Source organism: Homo sapiens, chromosome 16 (genome assembly GCF_000001405.40).
Source record: "Homo sapiens chromosome 16, GRCh38.p14 Primary Assembly".
Lineage (NCBI taxonomy): Eukaryota > Metazoa > Chordata > Mammalia > Primates > Hominidae > Homo > Homo sapiens.
This window is the reverse complement of record NC_000016.10, coordinates 4,530,866-4,545,305: the sequence shown is the minus strand read 5'-3', so window position 1 is coordinate 4,545,305 and position 14,440 is coordinate 4,530,866. Positions and strand designations below refer to the sequence as shown.

The 14,440-nt window shown below is 50.7% G+C and overlaps 2 protein-coding genes across 8 annotated transcripts in view, besides 3 other annotated features; one reads left to right on the top strand and one right to left on the bottom strand.

Moving 5' to 3' along the window:
* The window catches only part of C16orf96 (chromosome 16 open reading frame 96), a 62,158-nt gene extending 55,453 nt beyond the window's left edge, over positions 1-6,705 (bottom strand). The window contains exons 1-2 of one of the 2 annotated variants that reach the window (NM_001387219.1): positions 6,518-6,705; positions 5,155-5,227 (exon numbers count right to left, since the gene is read on the bottom strand). The gene's annotated coding sequence lies outside the window, so the exon portion shown is untranslated. Of the gene's footprint in view, positions 1-5,154; positions 5,639-6,517 lie in introns of those variants that run through there. The other variant, XM_047434053.1, reaches the window with a different exon arrangement.
* Positions 6,533-14,440, top strand: part of CDIP1 (cell death inducing p53 target 1) — a 28,105-nt gene continuing 20,197 nt past the window's right edge. For 4 of the 6 annotated variants that reach the window (NM_001199056.2, NM_001199055.2, NM_013399.3 and 1 more), the window contains exon 1: positions 6,533-6,604. The gene's annotated coding sequence lies outside the window, so the exon portion shown is untranslated. Of the gene's footprint in view, positions 6,605-6,876; positions 6,982-14,440 lie in introns of those variants that run through there. The other 2 variants (NM_001199054.2, XM_047434043.1) reach the window with 1 other exon arrangement.
* Positions 6,617-6,906: a silencer, noted in NCBI's record as "silent region_7153". NCBI's record gives its function as "represses an Ori minimal core promoter by ATAC-STARR-seq in GM12878 lymphoblastoid cells {active_cell/tissue: GM12878}" and the evidence as "EXISTENCE:reporter gene assay evidence [ECO:0000049][PMID:35858748]".
* Positions 6,917-7,136: a silencer, noted in NCBI's record as "silent region_7152". NCBI's record gives its function as "represses an Ori minimal core promoter by ATAC-STARR-seq in GM12878 lymphoblastoid cells {active_cell/tissue: GM12878}" and the evidence as "EXISTENCE:reporter gene assay evidence [ECO:0000049][PMID:35858748]".
* Positions 9,193-9,302: an enhancer, noted in NCBI's record as "active region_10340". NCBI's record gives its function as "activates an Ori minimal core promoter by ATAC-STARR-seq in GM12878 lymphoblastoid cells {active_cell/tissue: GM12878}" and the evidence as "EXISTENCE:reporter gene assay evidence [ECO:0000049][PMID:35858748]".

Here is a 14,440-nt window from a genome sequence, read left to right as displayed (position 1 = left end):
GAGCTCAGGAGCTTGAGGCTGCAGTGAGCTATCATCGCGCCACTGCACTCCAGCCTGGGTGACAGAACAGACCCTGTCCCTAAACAAACAACTGAGTGACGCAAAGACAGATACAGAAGTCCAAAAATTGAGGTCTGGCGGGGGAGAGGATTCAGAAGAGCACCCAACTAACGTCTGGTCATTAGAGAGGAGCACCCAACTAATGTCTGGTCATGGAGAACCTGTTAGTTGTTTTGACTTTTTGGCTATTATGAATATAAACATCCATGCTATGATATGAATACCTGCTATGCATATTCGTGTACTATAGGTTTTTATGCGGCTGTGTGTTTTATCTTGGGTGCAATCCTAGGAGTGGGACTGCTGGGTCACATAGTGGCTCTACGTTCAATCTTTCGAGGAATACCGCCTTTACGTTTGCATATACACTTCAATCGTCTCATCTAGTCCCCAGTTCCCGTCAACAGCAAGTGGGAGATGACAATTTCATTTTTGGAGGTGAGGGAGCTGAGGCCCAGAGCACTCAGAGGCTAACAAATAATACCAGCTGCCATTGGTCTGAGGGCTGGCTGTGTGCCAGGCACTATGAGCAGTGACCTAAATGCATTAAGCCATCCCATCCTCGCAACAGCCCCGTGAAATTGCTATTAGGTTTACCCTCATTTGGTAGTCAGAAAAATTAAATATACCTATTTTTCAGACAGGGTCAGGCTCTGTCACCCAGGCTGGAGTGCAGCAGCGTGATCACCAGGCTCACTGCAACTCCAGCCTCCCGGTCTTAAGCGATCCTCCCACCTCAGTCTCTGGAGTAGCTGGGACCACAGGCACGTGCACCACACCCAGCTAATATTTTTGTATTTTTTGTAGATACCGGGTTTTGCCATGTTGCCCAGGTTGGTCTCAAATTCCTGTGCTCAAGTGAACTGCCTGCCTTGGCCTCCCAAAGTTCTTGGATTACATGAGTGAGCCATTGCGTCCAGCCAGAAAAATGAAATATTTTGGAGAGGGCCGTGAAGTGGTGTGTCCTAAGACTTGAACCCAGTTCCAGCTCACTACATTTCTGGTTCTCACTGGCTCTCAAACCCTCCGCTACTCAGTGGGCTCCAGAGATCAGCAAGTTTTCACCCAGTACATAGCATGGTAATGTTCACGTTGACTGTTCTATTTGACTTTTACTGCATGGGACACTTGGGACCAACCCTTTGCCTACCCTAGGCCCTACCCCCTCTATGACCCCTCCTTAGTTTCCACAGGTCCTTCCTCTGGATCCATCCTAGAGCCCCTTCCCTTCCCAGTGGGTCCTCCTGCCTCAAATTTGCACCCCCTCCACACTGTCAGAATGATTTGTCTAAAACATGAATCCTGGCGGGGTGCGGTGGCTCACACCTGTAATCCCAGCACTTTGGGAGGCCTAGGTGGGAGGATCACTTGAAGTCAGGAGTTTGAGACCAGCCTGGCCAACATGGTGAAACCCTGTCTCTACTAAAAATACAAAAATTAGCCAGTTGTGATGGTATGTGCCTGTAATTCCAGCTACTTGGATGGCTGAGGCAGAAGAATCGCTTGCCAAGAGGCAGAGGCTGCAGGGAGCCAAGATCGCGCCACTGCAATCTCTGTCCCAAAATAAAATAAAATTTAAATAAAAATAAAAACAAAGATAAATAAATAAAATACGGATCATGGCTAGGTATGGTGACTCATGCCTGTAATCGCAGCACTTTGGGTGGCCAAGGTGAGAGGATCACTTGAGCCTAGGAGTTCAAGACCAGCCTGGCAACCTAGTGAGACCCTGTTTCTATTTTAATATAAATTAATTAATTAATTAAAATAAAACAAGAATCTAGTCATATTACTCAGCCCAAAATTCTCAACATTACATCACCCACTACCTACCCAATAGGATACAGTCTAAATTCCACAGATTGGTCTATAAGGCCCTCATGTTTCCTCACCCTCTGCCCTCCTCTTTCATATCCTACCACCCAACCATACAGAACTGCTTGCATTTCCCCACACACTCTGTGTTTCATTTCTCTGCAACTTTGCATTAGCAGCTCTAACTACTTGGAGTACCCTACCCCACTTCTTTCACCTGGGGAATCCTACACATCCTTCAAGCCCCAACTTAAACGTCCTCCTCTCTGAAGCCTTCCTTGTTCGGGCACTCCCTCTCCTGAACTCTCAAAGCACTCTGTTTTGACATCTTGAACATAAGCTATTATATTAGTCTCCCGTGCTGGACTGTGTGCGCTTTGAGGACAGAGATGGGGCTTTATTCCATTTTGTGTATTTCCAGGCCTAGAACAGGACCTTGCTTGGTCAAATGAGTAAATGAATAAATATTCTAGATCTGTGCTGTCCAATACAGTAGCCACAAGCCATATGTGGCTACTGAGCCCCTGAAATGTGACTGCTCCAAATTGAGATGTCCTGTAAATATAAAGTACACACTGCATTTCAAAAACAGTGTGAAAAAAGAGTAAAATATATCATTGATAATTTTTTTTTTTGAGACAAAGTTTTGCTTGTCGCCCAGGCTGGAGTGCAATGGTGTGATCTTGCCTCACTGCAACCTCCGCCTCCCAGTTGAAGCTATTCTCCTGCCTCAGCCTCCCGAGTAGCTGGGATTACAGGCGCCTGCCACCATGTCAAGCTAATTTTTTGTATTTTTAGTAGAGACGGGGTTTCACTATATTGGCCAGGCTGGTCTTGAACTCCTGACCTCAGGTGATCTGCCCACCTTGGCCTCCCAAAGTGCTGGGATTACAGGCATGAGCCACTGCGCCTGGCTGATAATTTTTTATGTTGATTACTGAAACAATATTTTGCATATATTGAGTTAAATGTATTATTAAAATTAATTTCACCTGTGTCTTTTTATACTTTTAATGTGGTTACTGGGAAATTTTTATTTTCAAATTTTTATTTATTTATTTTTTTAGAGACTGAGTCTAACTCTGTTGCTCAAGCTGGACTGCAATGGCGCAATTCTTGCTCACTGCAGTCTCAAACTCCTGGGCTCAAGTGATCCTCCTGCCTCAGCCTCCTGAGTAGGTGGGACTATGGGCATGAGCCACCACAGCTGGCTAATTTTTTAATTTTATAAATTTTTTTGTAGAGATGGGAGACTCACTATGTTGCTCAGGCTAGTCTCAAACTCTTGAACTCAATCTCCCAAAATGTTGGTATTACAGGTGTGAGCCACAGGGACCAGCCTGGAAATTTCTGGATTACATATGTGCTGGTCGCCCAGCCTTCTATTTGCCTCTCTTGGTCTAAACCATTCTCCACACTGTAGTCAGATGATCCTGTGAAATGTCAATCGAATCATATAAGTGGCCACAAACACTGAATTAAGCAAACACTGAACCACTGCTTCTGGGGGAACAACCTAGGTTCCTGTGAGCCTGTGGACACAACATTTTTGTCAACCAATCAATAACCTTGTTTATAGGTGTTTCTGTTTAAAGGCAACTTAGTTAATATACACTGTTGATTCAGTGCAATTGAACTCAATTGCCTGCACCAAGCTAACTGAGCACAGCTGTTTTCTCTATAAGGCAAATCACCACCTTCTTGCACTGAGGAATGCTAGACAGCACTTCTGCACAACACTAAGGGCCATTTTAAACACCAGAATCACCAATAAAAAGCGTAAAAATAAATGAGAAAAAGATGACACTAAATAGACCAAAAAGGAGACTTGTAGGCAGCGCTGCCCTATTATTTTTAGAGACAGGGTCTCACTCTGTTGCCCAGGCTGGAGTGCAGTGGCACAATCCCAGCTCACAGCAGCCTCGACCTGCTGGGCTGAAGGGATCCTCCCACCTCAGCCTCCCGAGTGGCTGGGATAGAAGGCGAGTGCCACCATGACAGCCCAGTGTTGCCTTATTTGACCTCAGTGGAGAATGTGCAGGATCGTTATGTCCATGAATGAATGAGAAAGCACCACAAGTATTGATTTTGGGATTAGAAATAAATGTTAGTGAGTAGGCAAATTTGCAAACACAAAATCCATAAATAATGAAGATTGACTGTAACTCTACTGCTTAAAACTCTTCAAGGGCTTTAAATTCCACTTGAAATAAAATCCAGGCCGGGCGCGGTGGCTCACGCCTGTAATCCCAGCACTTTGGGAGGCAGAGGCGGGCGGATCACGAGGTGAGGAGATCGACACCAGCCTGACCAACATAGTGAAACTCAGTCTCTACTAAAAATACAAAAATTAGCCAGGCGTGGTAGCAGGTACCTATAGTCCTAGCTCCTCAGGAGGCTGAGGCAGGAGAATTGCTTGAACCTGGGAGACGGAGGTTGCAGTGAGCCGAGATCGAGCCACTGCACTCCAGCCTGGTGACAGAGCGAGACTCCATCTAAAAAAAAAAAAAAATCCAAACTGCAGACAGGTATGGTGGCTTATGCCTGTAATCCCAGCTACTTGGGAGGCTGAGGCAGGAGGACTGCTTGAGCCTAGGAGTTGTCACAGTGAGCTATGATCATGCCACTGTACTCCAGCCTGGGTGCCTGATCAAGATCCTATCTCAAAAAAAAAAGAAAGAAGAATCCAGAGTTTTATTTTATTTTGAGAGAGTTTTGCTCTGTCTCCCAGGCTGGAGAGCAGTGGTGTGATCTTGGCTCACTGCAACCTCTGCCTCCTAGGTTCAAGCAATTCTCCTGCCTCAGCCTCCCGAATAGCTGGGATTACAGGCGTGTATGCCGGGCTAATTTTTGTATTTTTAGTAGAGACGGGGTTTCACTGTGTTGGCCAGGCTGGTCTCAAACTCCTGACCTCAAGTGATCTGCCTGCCTCGGCCTCCCAAAGTGCTGGGGTTACAGGCATGAGCCACCACGCCTGGCCAGAGTTCTTAAAATGACCTACAAATCTCAACATGACTTGGATCCAGCCTGCCCCACTGACATCCTCACCTTTCTGACTCTCTCACCCAAGGCAATCCCTCCCTCTGGAATGCCCTTCCAGAATAGAATGTCTTTTCAATTTCATGCCCCTGCCTCAGCATCGCCTCCTCTGAGAGGCCTTTTCTAACCAACCTGTCTAGTGGCACCACCCCGTAACTCTGTTAGGGCGTCCCTTCCTCTCCTTCACAGTCCTGGGCATTTTGTGGTTTCCTTGTATACTGTCTGTAACAAAGGAAGTACCTGAGCAAGTAGCCACCCAGTGGGTTCTTCTTCCTGGCTGCCCAGATAGAGCCAATGTATCAAGACAGGGGAACTGCAATAGAGAAAGAGTTTAATCCACACAGAGCTGGCTGAATGGGAGACCAAAGTTTCATTACTCAAATCAGTCTCCCTGGAAATTCAGAGCCTAGAGTTTTTAAAGGGTAATTTGGTAGATAAGCTGCCAAGGAGTAGGGAGTGCTGATTGGTGGGGTGGGAGATGAAATCACAGGGTGTTGAAGGATGCAAGAACTGGTTGAGTCAGATTACAGCTCTAGGTGGCCTTGGCTGGTGCATCAGACTGCAGGGTCAGAAAAACACCTAAGAGTACCAATCTTAGGTTTTACAATAGTGATATTATACCTAGGATCAACTGGGGAGGTTTAGAATCTTGTGGCCTCTGGGTGCATGACTCCTAAACCGTAATTTCTTTCTTTCTTTCTTTTTTTGAGATGGAGTCTCAGTCTCTTGCTCAGGCTGGAGTGCAGAGGCATAATCTCAGCTCACTGCAACCTCCATCTCTCGGGTTCAAGCAATTTTTGGGCTTCAGCCTCCCTAGTAGTTGGGATTACAGGTGCGTGCCACCATACCCGGCTAATTTTTGTATTTTTAAATAGAGACATGGTTTCACCATGTTGGCCAGGCTGGTCTCAAACTCCTGACCTCAAGTGATCCACCTGCGTCAGCCTTCCAAAGTGCTGGGATTACAGGCGTTAGCCACTGAGCTGGGCCCTAAACTATAATGTCTAATCTTGTAGCTAACGTGTTACTCTTACAAAGGAAGCCTGGTTCTCAGGCAACAAGGGGGTTTGTTTTGGGAAAGGGCTGTTAACTATCTTTGTTTCAATATTAAACTATAAACTAAGTTGCTCCCAAAGTTAGTTCTGCCTATGCCTAGGAATGAACAAGGACAACCTGGAGGTTAGAAGCAAGATGGAGTGGGTTAGGTCAGCTCTCTTTCACTGTCATAATTTTCTGTTGTAATTTTTGCAAAGGCAGTTTCAAGCGCAGGGACAGTGACCGTGTGGTTCAAGGTTTTATGTAATGCACCTCCCAAACTCAATAAATATTAGTCGCATAAAAGAAAAAATGCAGCCCTGGAGGAAGATGCCCTGCCCTGTTGCTGGCATGAGTGAAGAGGAGGCGCTCACAGGGACGGTTCTTTCCCTATTCTCCAGCCTCGTGTACATTGGGCAAACAGGCCCCGACCATCCCACGTGCTCAGCCCCAGCTCTAGGCCAAATCGCCTCCGCTCCCACTGACGTCATCACGGCGCATCACGTGCCTCCCGAGACCCCACCCCCCACCGTGACGTCCCGGGCCTCGGCCCTGGTCCAAAGTCTACCCGCCTCCTTGTGACAGAAGTGCGACTGCCAGCTGCCGAGGCGTTCGGTCCTGCTGTTGCGGCCGCTGCCCCAGGGCTGCGGGGACGGTGAGTCGACTGGACGCATTCGGAGACGGCTTCGCGCGGGAGCCCTCCTCCCCGGGGGAAGGGTCTGGGCGCCAGCTCTCCTCAGGTCGGGGCGTGACCTCGGACCGTGGCGCCCCCTCCCCGCCCCCGCCCGCGGCGCCTGGGCGGTGCATGCCGGGCACCGTAGTCCCCAGCCTCTCAGAGCGGGTTGTGGTGGGGGGGGTGACCGGGCGGACTACAAGTCCTAGAAGCCTCTGGGCGGTGGGGTGGGCGGTGGGTTGGGGGGTTTCGTTGTGCGCGCAAAGCCGCGCGGGGCTGAGGGTCTTGTTCTGCCGGCGCCTGTCCGGACCCGGGCCCCTCTCCGCTTTCGGCCGGCCTCGGGCACCGGGCTTCTGGAGGTAAAGCGGGGCCGGCGGTTGGGGCGCGGCATGGCGGGGCCCGTCCTCCCCTCAGGGCGCTGCCGAGACCTAGCGCGGCCCTGGGGATGTCGAAGCCGCTGCGGTGGCGGGGCCCGGGCGGGCGCCCCGCTGTGTGCCGCGGGGTTGTGCGCCCGGAATGGCAGCCTGCTCGCCCGCACGTTTTTCCGTCAGGGAAGGTTGTGGAAATTGCCATCTCCGTCTTGCAGGGCGAGACGGGGAGGGGAGGGGTGGGAGTTGTTTTCTCAAGGAAAGGGGGTCGAGGAGGAGCCCCGTGGCCGAGCCAGCCCCTGCCGAGCCCCGCGGGTGACCTTGGCCGTCCCGGAGCCCAGCAGTGTCCTGCACCCGCGCCCGGCTCGCCGACGTGTGGAGTCGGGATGTGGCGCTCGGCCGCGCATCCCCGGCGGAGATGGCGACGGCCTGGCCTAGCTTGGGGCTAGGAGTCGCGCCTTCGAGGACCTTGGCTTAGCGAGTTCCTTGGGGGGCTTCTCAACAGGTGTTAGATGAGGTGGGGCGAGTGGCTGTGAGTTCCTCCAAAGGTGGGCTCAAGATCCTCTGCGTCAGAACCACCTGGGGCTCTTGGGAAACGGGCAGATTCCTGGGGCCCACCCCAGGTGTTGGGATGCTGTAGTTCCGTCGCGCTGCCCAGGAATCTGCATTTAGTAGGCTCCCCAGATCATTCCCGGGCGCAGCTGGGGCTGAGAACCTGTCCCAGTGAGGGGGTTGGCGGGCCCGGGGGCAGGGACGTTCCATAGTGTTTCTGCCAGTTTCTTCTGTATTCTGGGGCCTGATGCTGGGCGGGGCGGTGCCCGGGCAAGTTACTGCTCTCCTGGGTTCTTTGCTGCTTCCCTTGGGGCCGATCTAGGTAGAACTGGGTGGAGGGAGGCGTGCCAGCTCTGCCTTGCCCTCTGCCCTTAATCGGAAAGGTTATGCCCAGTCACTTGCCAGTCTCAGAAGACTCCCCCTCTACACATTCAGTTACGAAAAACGTGAAACATACAAAAGTTGAAGGAATTTTACAGTGAACACCCACAGACCACCACCTAGAATGTAGAGTTAACACTTTATTGTATTTCATCACATATTTGTCCAACCAGCAGTCCCTCTTGTTTTTTGTGTCAAAGTAAGTTGCAGATATCAGTGCCTTTCCCTCCCAAATAAGCATGCATGTCATTAATTAGAGTCTTAGAATTGTTGTTTATTGGGTTTGACTTTTTTATCTTCTTAATGGTTTTTACCTTAATGGAAGCCCTGGGTATTTAGAAATCCGTCTCTCACCCTTGAGAATTTGAAGGAGTTCGGAGGTTTTCCACAGGATGGGAGAACCAGGGAAGAGCTTTACAGGTTCTCTTACAAAGGTTCATTTATTTATTTAGAGCCAGGGTCTTGCTCTGTGGCCCAGGCTGGAGTGCAGCGGTGCCGTCACGACGTTCACTGCAGCCTTGAACTCCTTGTCTCCAGCGATCCTCCTGAGTACCTGGAACTACAGGCATGCCCCACCATGCCCGGCTAATTTTTTTTTTTTTTTTTTTTTGTAGAGATGGCATGTCATTATTTTGCCCAGCTGGTCTCTAACTCCTGGGCTCAAGTGATCCTCTTGCCTCACCCTCCCAAAGTGCTGGGATTACAGGCAGGAGCTACCGTGCCCAAGTTCTTACAAGGATTTAAGAGCAGCCAGCCGTGGTTCTAGAATCACCATAAGAGCAGAACATTGACTGTATGATGTAAAGTAATACTTCAGGGAACAAAATTGTTTTGAGAAGGAGCTAACGGAATGCGTCCCGAAGGCCAGCTTGCCCCAGCAGATCACGTTGGCAATAATTGAAGCTAGTCATCAGCTTGCAACTCCCTGTCGGCTCTTTACACTGTAAGCTTGTCCAGGTTGAACCTACCAGTTCAGTGTGTGTTTTCTAAGGTCTAGGGGAACTGGGGTGTGTAGTGCAATTTAGCTCATGGTGTTGATGGACTAGAGGCCGTGGCTTTGAGACCCTTGGGCCCAGGTACTTTGTTCCTTAGCCACAAACACCAGCCCTTCACCCTACTCAGTTGCCTGAGTGGGAGAGAAAAGATAGGCCCTGTGAAAATTTGTCTCCACTTTGAGGAACATGGTTCCAAGGGTAAGGACATGTTTTTACTCATAGAAGACACAGGGAAATATGGTAGTTAAAGTTGTGGCATTTTATAGCATGTCACTGTCCTGTAGGTGGAGGAAGTGCTGGTGAGAAGGTGGCAGGCAGGGAGAGCTCTGCAGAGGACCTTGGCGCTCCATGGGGAGGATGGAGAGAGAGAGCCAGGCCGGCAGTGGTGACAGGAGGTTCCCTTTCCCCCACGAGGGGACTTGGAAATAGATTACTCAAAATGGAAATGTGCCCCTTTCTAGGATCCCACAAAAAGTTTCTGTTTCTGTCTCTGCCTAGTCAGGAGTCTCCAAGCCACAGTCTCTGTGGGAGGTGGTAAAGGCTACCTTGCAATACAGTGCAGCAGAGGTGGAGGCGCCTAGGGCCTGGGCCAGAACCTCCCCATGCCCAGAGGGCTGTCCACTCTTGGAGACACTGGTCTGGTGGCTCCTGAACCCGTGGGCCTGATGGCCCCGGTCACCACTTCTCCTACTCTGTGAGTCATCAGGCAGTGGTCCATGACATTGGTGGTGTCCTGGGACCAGGGCTGCCTAGACGTGGAGACCTCTCTGTCATGTTGAAGCTGTGTGACAGACAGGCCTTGCTGGCCGCGTCTGTGATAGGTGAAGAGCATCACCCAGGCCACAGGAAGGCCTGCATCTGCTGTTAGCGCTGAAGAGATGAAGGGTCCCTGACGGCAGACAAAGCAAAACCAATACAGAGCCTGCAGTGCAGGGTGAGGGGGTCCAGGAGCATTCTGATTCTTTCCTTGAAAGCAGTTGTGATGCATTTTTGGTAATACTGGACCATTTTTCCAGGAAACATTTCTTGTCACCTTTTCAGTGCTCCTGATTTGTGGGTGAGACCTGGCTTGGTCTGTACATTGAGTGATTCAGTACCATCGATTCTTACTGCAAGGAGGTGTAATGGGGGTTCAGTAAACACTGAGGGTCTTCCTGAGATGTAATTGTTCAATCAATGCTAATTAAGTCTGAATTCAGATCTAGTCCCAGTGTCTGGGTTTTTCCCCCAAGAAGGAAAAGAGGCCAAGAAAGGTGGAAGTAGGTAGAGAAGAGTGCGAGAGCTGCCTTGGGAGGGTTTAGGGAGAATTTCAACCCGTATTACTTCAGGAAGAAAGCGAGCTTGGTTGTCACAATTCTGATTAACATGCAGGCCGGGTGCTGTGGCTCATGCCTGTAATCCCAGCACTTTAGGAGGCCAACGGGGGCGGATCACCTGAGGTTGGGAATTTGAGACCAGCCTGACCAACATGGAGAAACCCCGTCTCTACTAAAAATACAAAATTAGCCGGGTGTGGTGGTGCATGCCTGTAATCCCAGCTACTCCGGAGGCTGAGACAGGAGAATCAGTTGAACCTGGCAGGTGGAGGTTGCAGTGAGTCGAGATTGTACCACTGCACTCCAGCCTGGGTGACAGAGCAAGACTCTATCTCAAAAAATCAAACAAACAAAAACCAAAAAAAAAAAAAAAAAAAAAAACCATGCAAACAGCGGCCTCACAGGCTGGGGAAGCAGGAGGAAATGGGGTTCTTTGCAGTGTACCGCCCTATGAACATGCGTTGTTCTCACCTGTCAGCCAGGGAGGTAGCAGCACAGTGGGACTTGGCCAGCTGAGGCAGCAGCCAGAGTGTCTAAGTGACTTGCCCATGGTTGCCAAGTAATGGCAGAGAAGGGCCCATGGCTGGCCCTGAAACAGCAGGGGTGGCGGAAGAGCAGCTGAGGGAGACGTGGGCTCTCCCAGCCCCATTGTGATCACTGCATCACGGAGTTGACTGGAATTCAAGAAATGGTGTTTTTTCCTGTCTGGATATTTGGCTGTGAACGTAAGTACTTTCCTGAGGACGCAGTGGAGTCTCTCTCGGCTGCGGCTGTGTTCTCACCCTGGGCAGTGGCCTTTGGGTTAAGAATGGCACAGAAGGGGCTGGGTGCGGTGGCTCATGGCTGTATTCCCAGCACTTTGGGAGGCTGAGGTGGGTGGATCATTTGAGGTCAGGAGTTCGAGACCAGCCTGGCCAACATGGTGAAACCCCGCCTCTACTAAAAATACAAAAATTAACCAGGTGTGGGGGCAGGTGCCTGTAATTCCAGCTACTCAGGAGGCTGAGGCAGGAGAATTGCTTGAACTCGGGAGTTGGGGGTTGCAGCTAGCCGAGATCGCACCAATGGACTCCAGCCTGGGTGACAGAGTGAGACTGTTTCAAAACAAACAAAAAAGAATGGCACAGGAGGTCCACTTAGGTCAACCCCAAACCTGTGCACTCATTTCTTCAACACACATGGACTAGGCACCAAGCAGGGCCCAACAATACAAGTGGGAGAGTCCCAGGATTCTTGAGGGGAGATAAGACAAGGGACAGAGAATCCCCTGGCAGCAGAATCCTCAGGAAGGCCCAGGTTTGCAGGGAAGTGGGGTGTGGGCGTGTTTGGAGGCCAGGGAAAGAGTACGGGGGTGGGCTTGGGAAGGGTGGGGGGATGAGATAGTTTGGAGGAGTGTGAGTTACGATCCGGTGGTAGATCTGGGATATGGTCCAAGTCCAGACTCTTCCCTGTCACCCTTGACTGTTAGATGAGATAGTGGATCTGAGGGCCTTTGAACCATGGAGTTAGTAGGACTTGCTGACTGGTCATGGTTTAAGGAGACGAGAAAGGTCTGGAGCGCCTCTCAGCCATCCAGTTTGGCAATGGGAGTGAAGTGAACAGAAGGGTCCTCTGGCTGGAGAGCAGAGTTCCTGCCTAGAGCAGCAGCCAAGCTGCAGCCCATCCACCCACTAACCCATGTTTCACAGGCTGCCCGGTGCCCTGGAGAAACTGGCCCCAAGGTCTGACCCTGCCCTGCAGGAGCTATGGGTCTGACTGGGAGATGGCCTTGATCACAACTTTCTAATTCTGCATGTTATGAGTGACTCCATTGCCCTAGACCCAGAATTCCCTGGCCACCTCCCTGCAGGGCTGTGAAGCCCATGACAGGCCTCACCTTTTCTCTGCTGGAGCACCTGCTGTCACAGAGGCGACAGCTCCTGCTGGGCTTGCCTGTGTATTTTTTATAAGTTCTTCTCAAGTGTCACTTGTCTTGCCAGGTAGATCTGCAGCTCCCTGAGGGCAGGGACCATGAGGTGAGTGACCTCCATGGAGGGTCTGATGAGTCTTTTCAAACAGGTAGTCACTTAAACAAAAAAGAGAGGAACTTGGATGGTGATGGCTCTGCTGAGTGAAACGGCCTCATCCTTGAACCTGAAGAGTCCTGCCCTGTTCAGGGGAGAAGGCCTCAAGTGAGCACTTCTCAGATCTCAGATTCCCCAGGCATTTTGTGTCACCTGACCTCAGGCCTTAGTTTCTGTCCCCAGCATGGTCAAGCTCAGGTTCTGTGGTGTGTGTTTAGCTGCTTTGCAGGGACAGTGGCCACACCATGACGCATTTCTCTGTGGCCCCAGTAAAATTGGCCAAAAAGGAACTATACCTGCTGGAGGTGGTAGCCGAGTGCTCTCAGGCTCCCCAGCTCTAGGAGCCACCTACTTGATGTCAGAACTTTGGAGAACTGGATTAGCATGGCAGGTGAGTGCGGAAAATGGAGAGTCGTGGGGCGAAATGATTTCCCAAGCTCTCTGCAAGCCTCTCGGCTTATCAGGGTAAAAGTGGGCATCCTGCTGTGGCCAGAGGACCCGGCTCACCCATCCTCCAACACGGAGTGTTCCCTGCTCAGTGGAGCTATCCCTGGTGACAACTGCAGCCCTGTGGCAACCACTTCCTTGTTCTTCCTTCTTCCATGCCACGCTTTGTTCTGTGCCAGGCCCGATGTTTTATTTCTGTATTTTATGCCCTCTACTCAGCCCCCCACTGAAGCTGCCTGCCATTAAGACAGACGTTGATCTGCCATCTTCAGTGCCTAGGAAATGCCTCACGCATAGTGTGTGGTCCATACTTATTGGTTGAATAAAATGATACACCATGCCTGCATTTCAGCCGTCTCATCTTCCTAAGAGCCAAGACGCAGGGACCGTGGTCTTCATGTGCTCCGTCATTGCCTGAGTGTTGGGGGTGCTGATTTGCATGCTGTGTTGAATTCTTCAGTACACATTCAGTGGGTTAGGTTCTAAAGTCAACTAGCAGAGCAAAGACCTCATAAGTCAAACTGTCCTCTAAAGTCCTTGAATTGCCTATTAGCTCAGAGGCACTCCCCCTGCTAGAGGCCCAGCGGGGCCTGAGGAAACAGCACGTTCTGTGTCCCATTTCCCTCCCCAGGGAAAGCAGGGGACCGGGCACTGCCACTTCAGCTTTTTGTCCTGGGTACCATGAAATCTATGTAAATGGAACGCATGTGAAGGAACTGCACTGTGTGAGCTACACTGTGTGAAGCACTTTATTGGGAGTGTGAGATCCCACTCAAGTGTATTTTGAAAACCATTTCTGGAGAATGTGTGAGAAAAGAAACAGGGCTGACAGTGATGTGGAAGGAGAGAGTCAGGACAGCTGAGGTCCTGTCTTGGCTCTGTCATCTCCAGGCAGCTGGGGTGCCCGGGGCAGCCACTTCTCTCCTCGGAGACTGCTCCCCACTCTGTGCCACTGCTTGCTCGCCCACCGTCATCTCCAGCACTTCACAGGGCACCTGTCTTCCATGGGTGCTTAGTAAACATTTAAGACAGAAATGAATGGCAGCTTAGACTTGGACCCAGTCATCTCTGATGGCCTTGCAACCTCCAAAAGGTGTTCTCTGGCCAGGAGCAGACACTCACACCTATAATCTTAGCACTTTGGGAGGCTGAGGCAGAAGGATCACTTGAGGTCAGGAGTTTGAGACCATGGCAAACATGGCGAAACCCCGTCTCTAAAAATACAAAAAAAAAAGGCCGGGCACAGTGCCTCACACCTGTAATCCCAGCACTTTGGGAGGCCGAGGTAGGCGGATCACGAGGTCGGGAGATCGAGACCATCCTGGCTAACACGGTGAAACCCCATCTGTACTAAAAATACAAAAAACTAGCTGGGTGTGGTGGCAGGCGCCTGTAGTCCCAGCTACTTGGGAGGCTGAGGCATGAGAATTGCGTGAACCTGGGAGGTGGAGGTTGCAATGAGCCGAGATCACGCCACTGCACTCCAGCCTGGTCTCTGATGTCTGAGTCATAGAGAAATATATACATGGCCAAGCAGATGGCAGTCCCAATCATGACGTGAGCTCCTGTTTTCCCAAGCTTCCAGAATAAGTCTTCTGTCCCAGCCAGCATGAGTGAACTCAGGGCCAGATGTTGACTTAGAGTTACAGGAACTTAGGCAAAAACTGCAATTACTTTTGTACCAACCTAATAAACT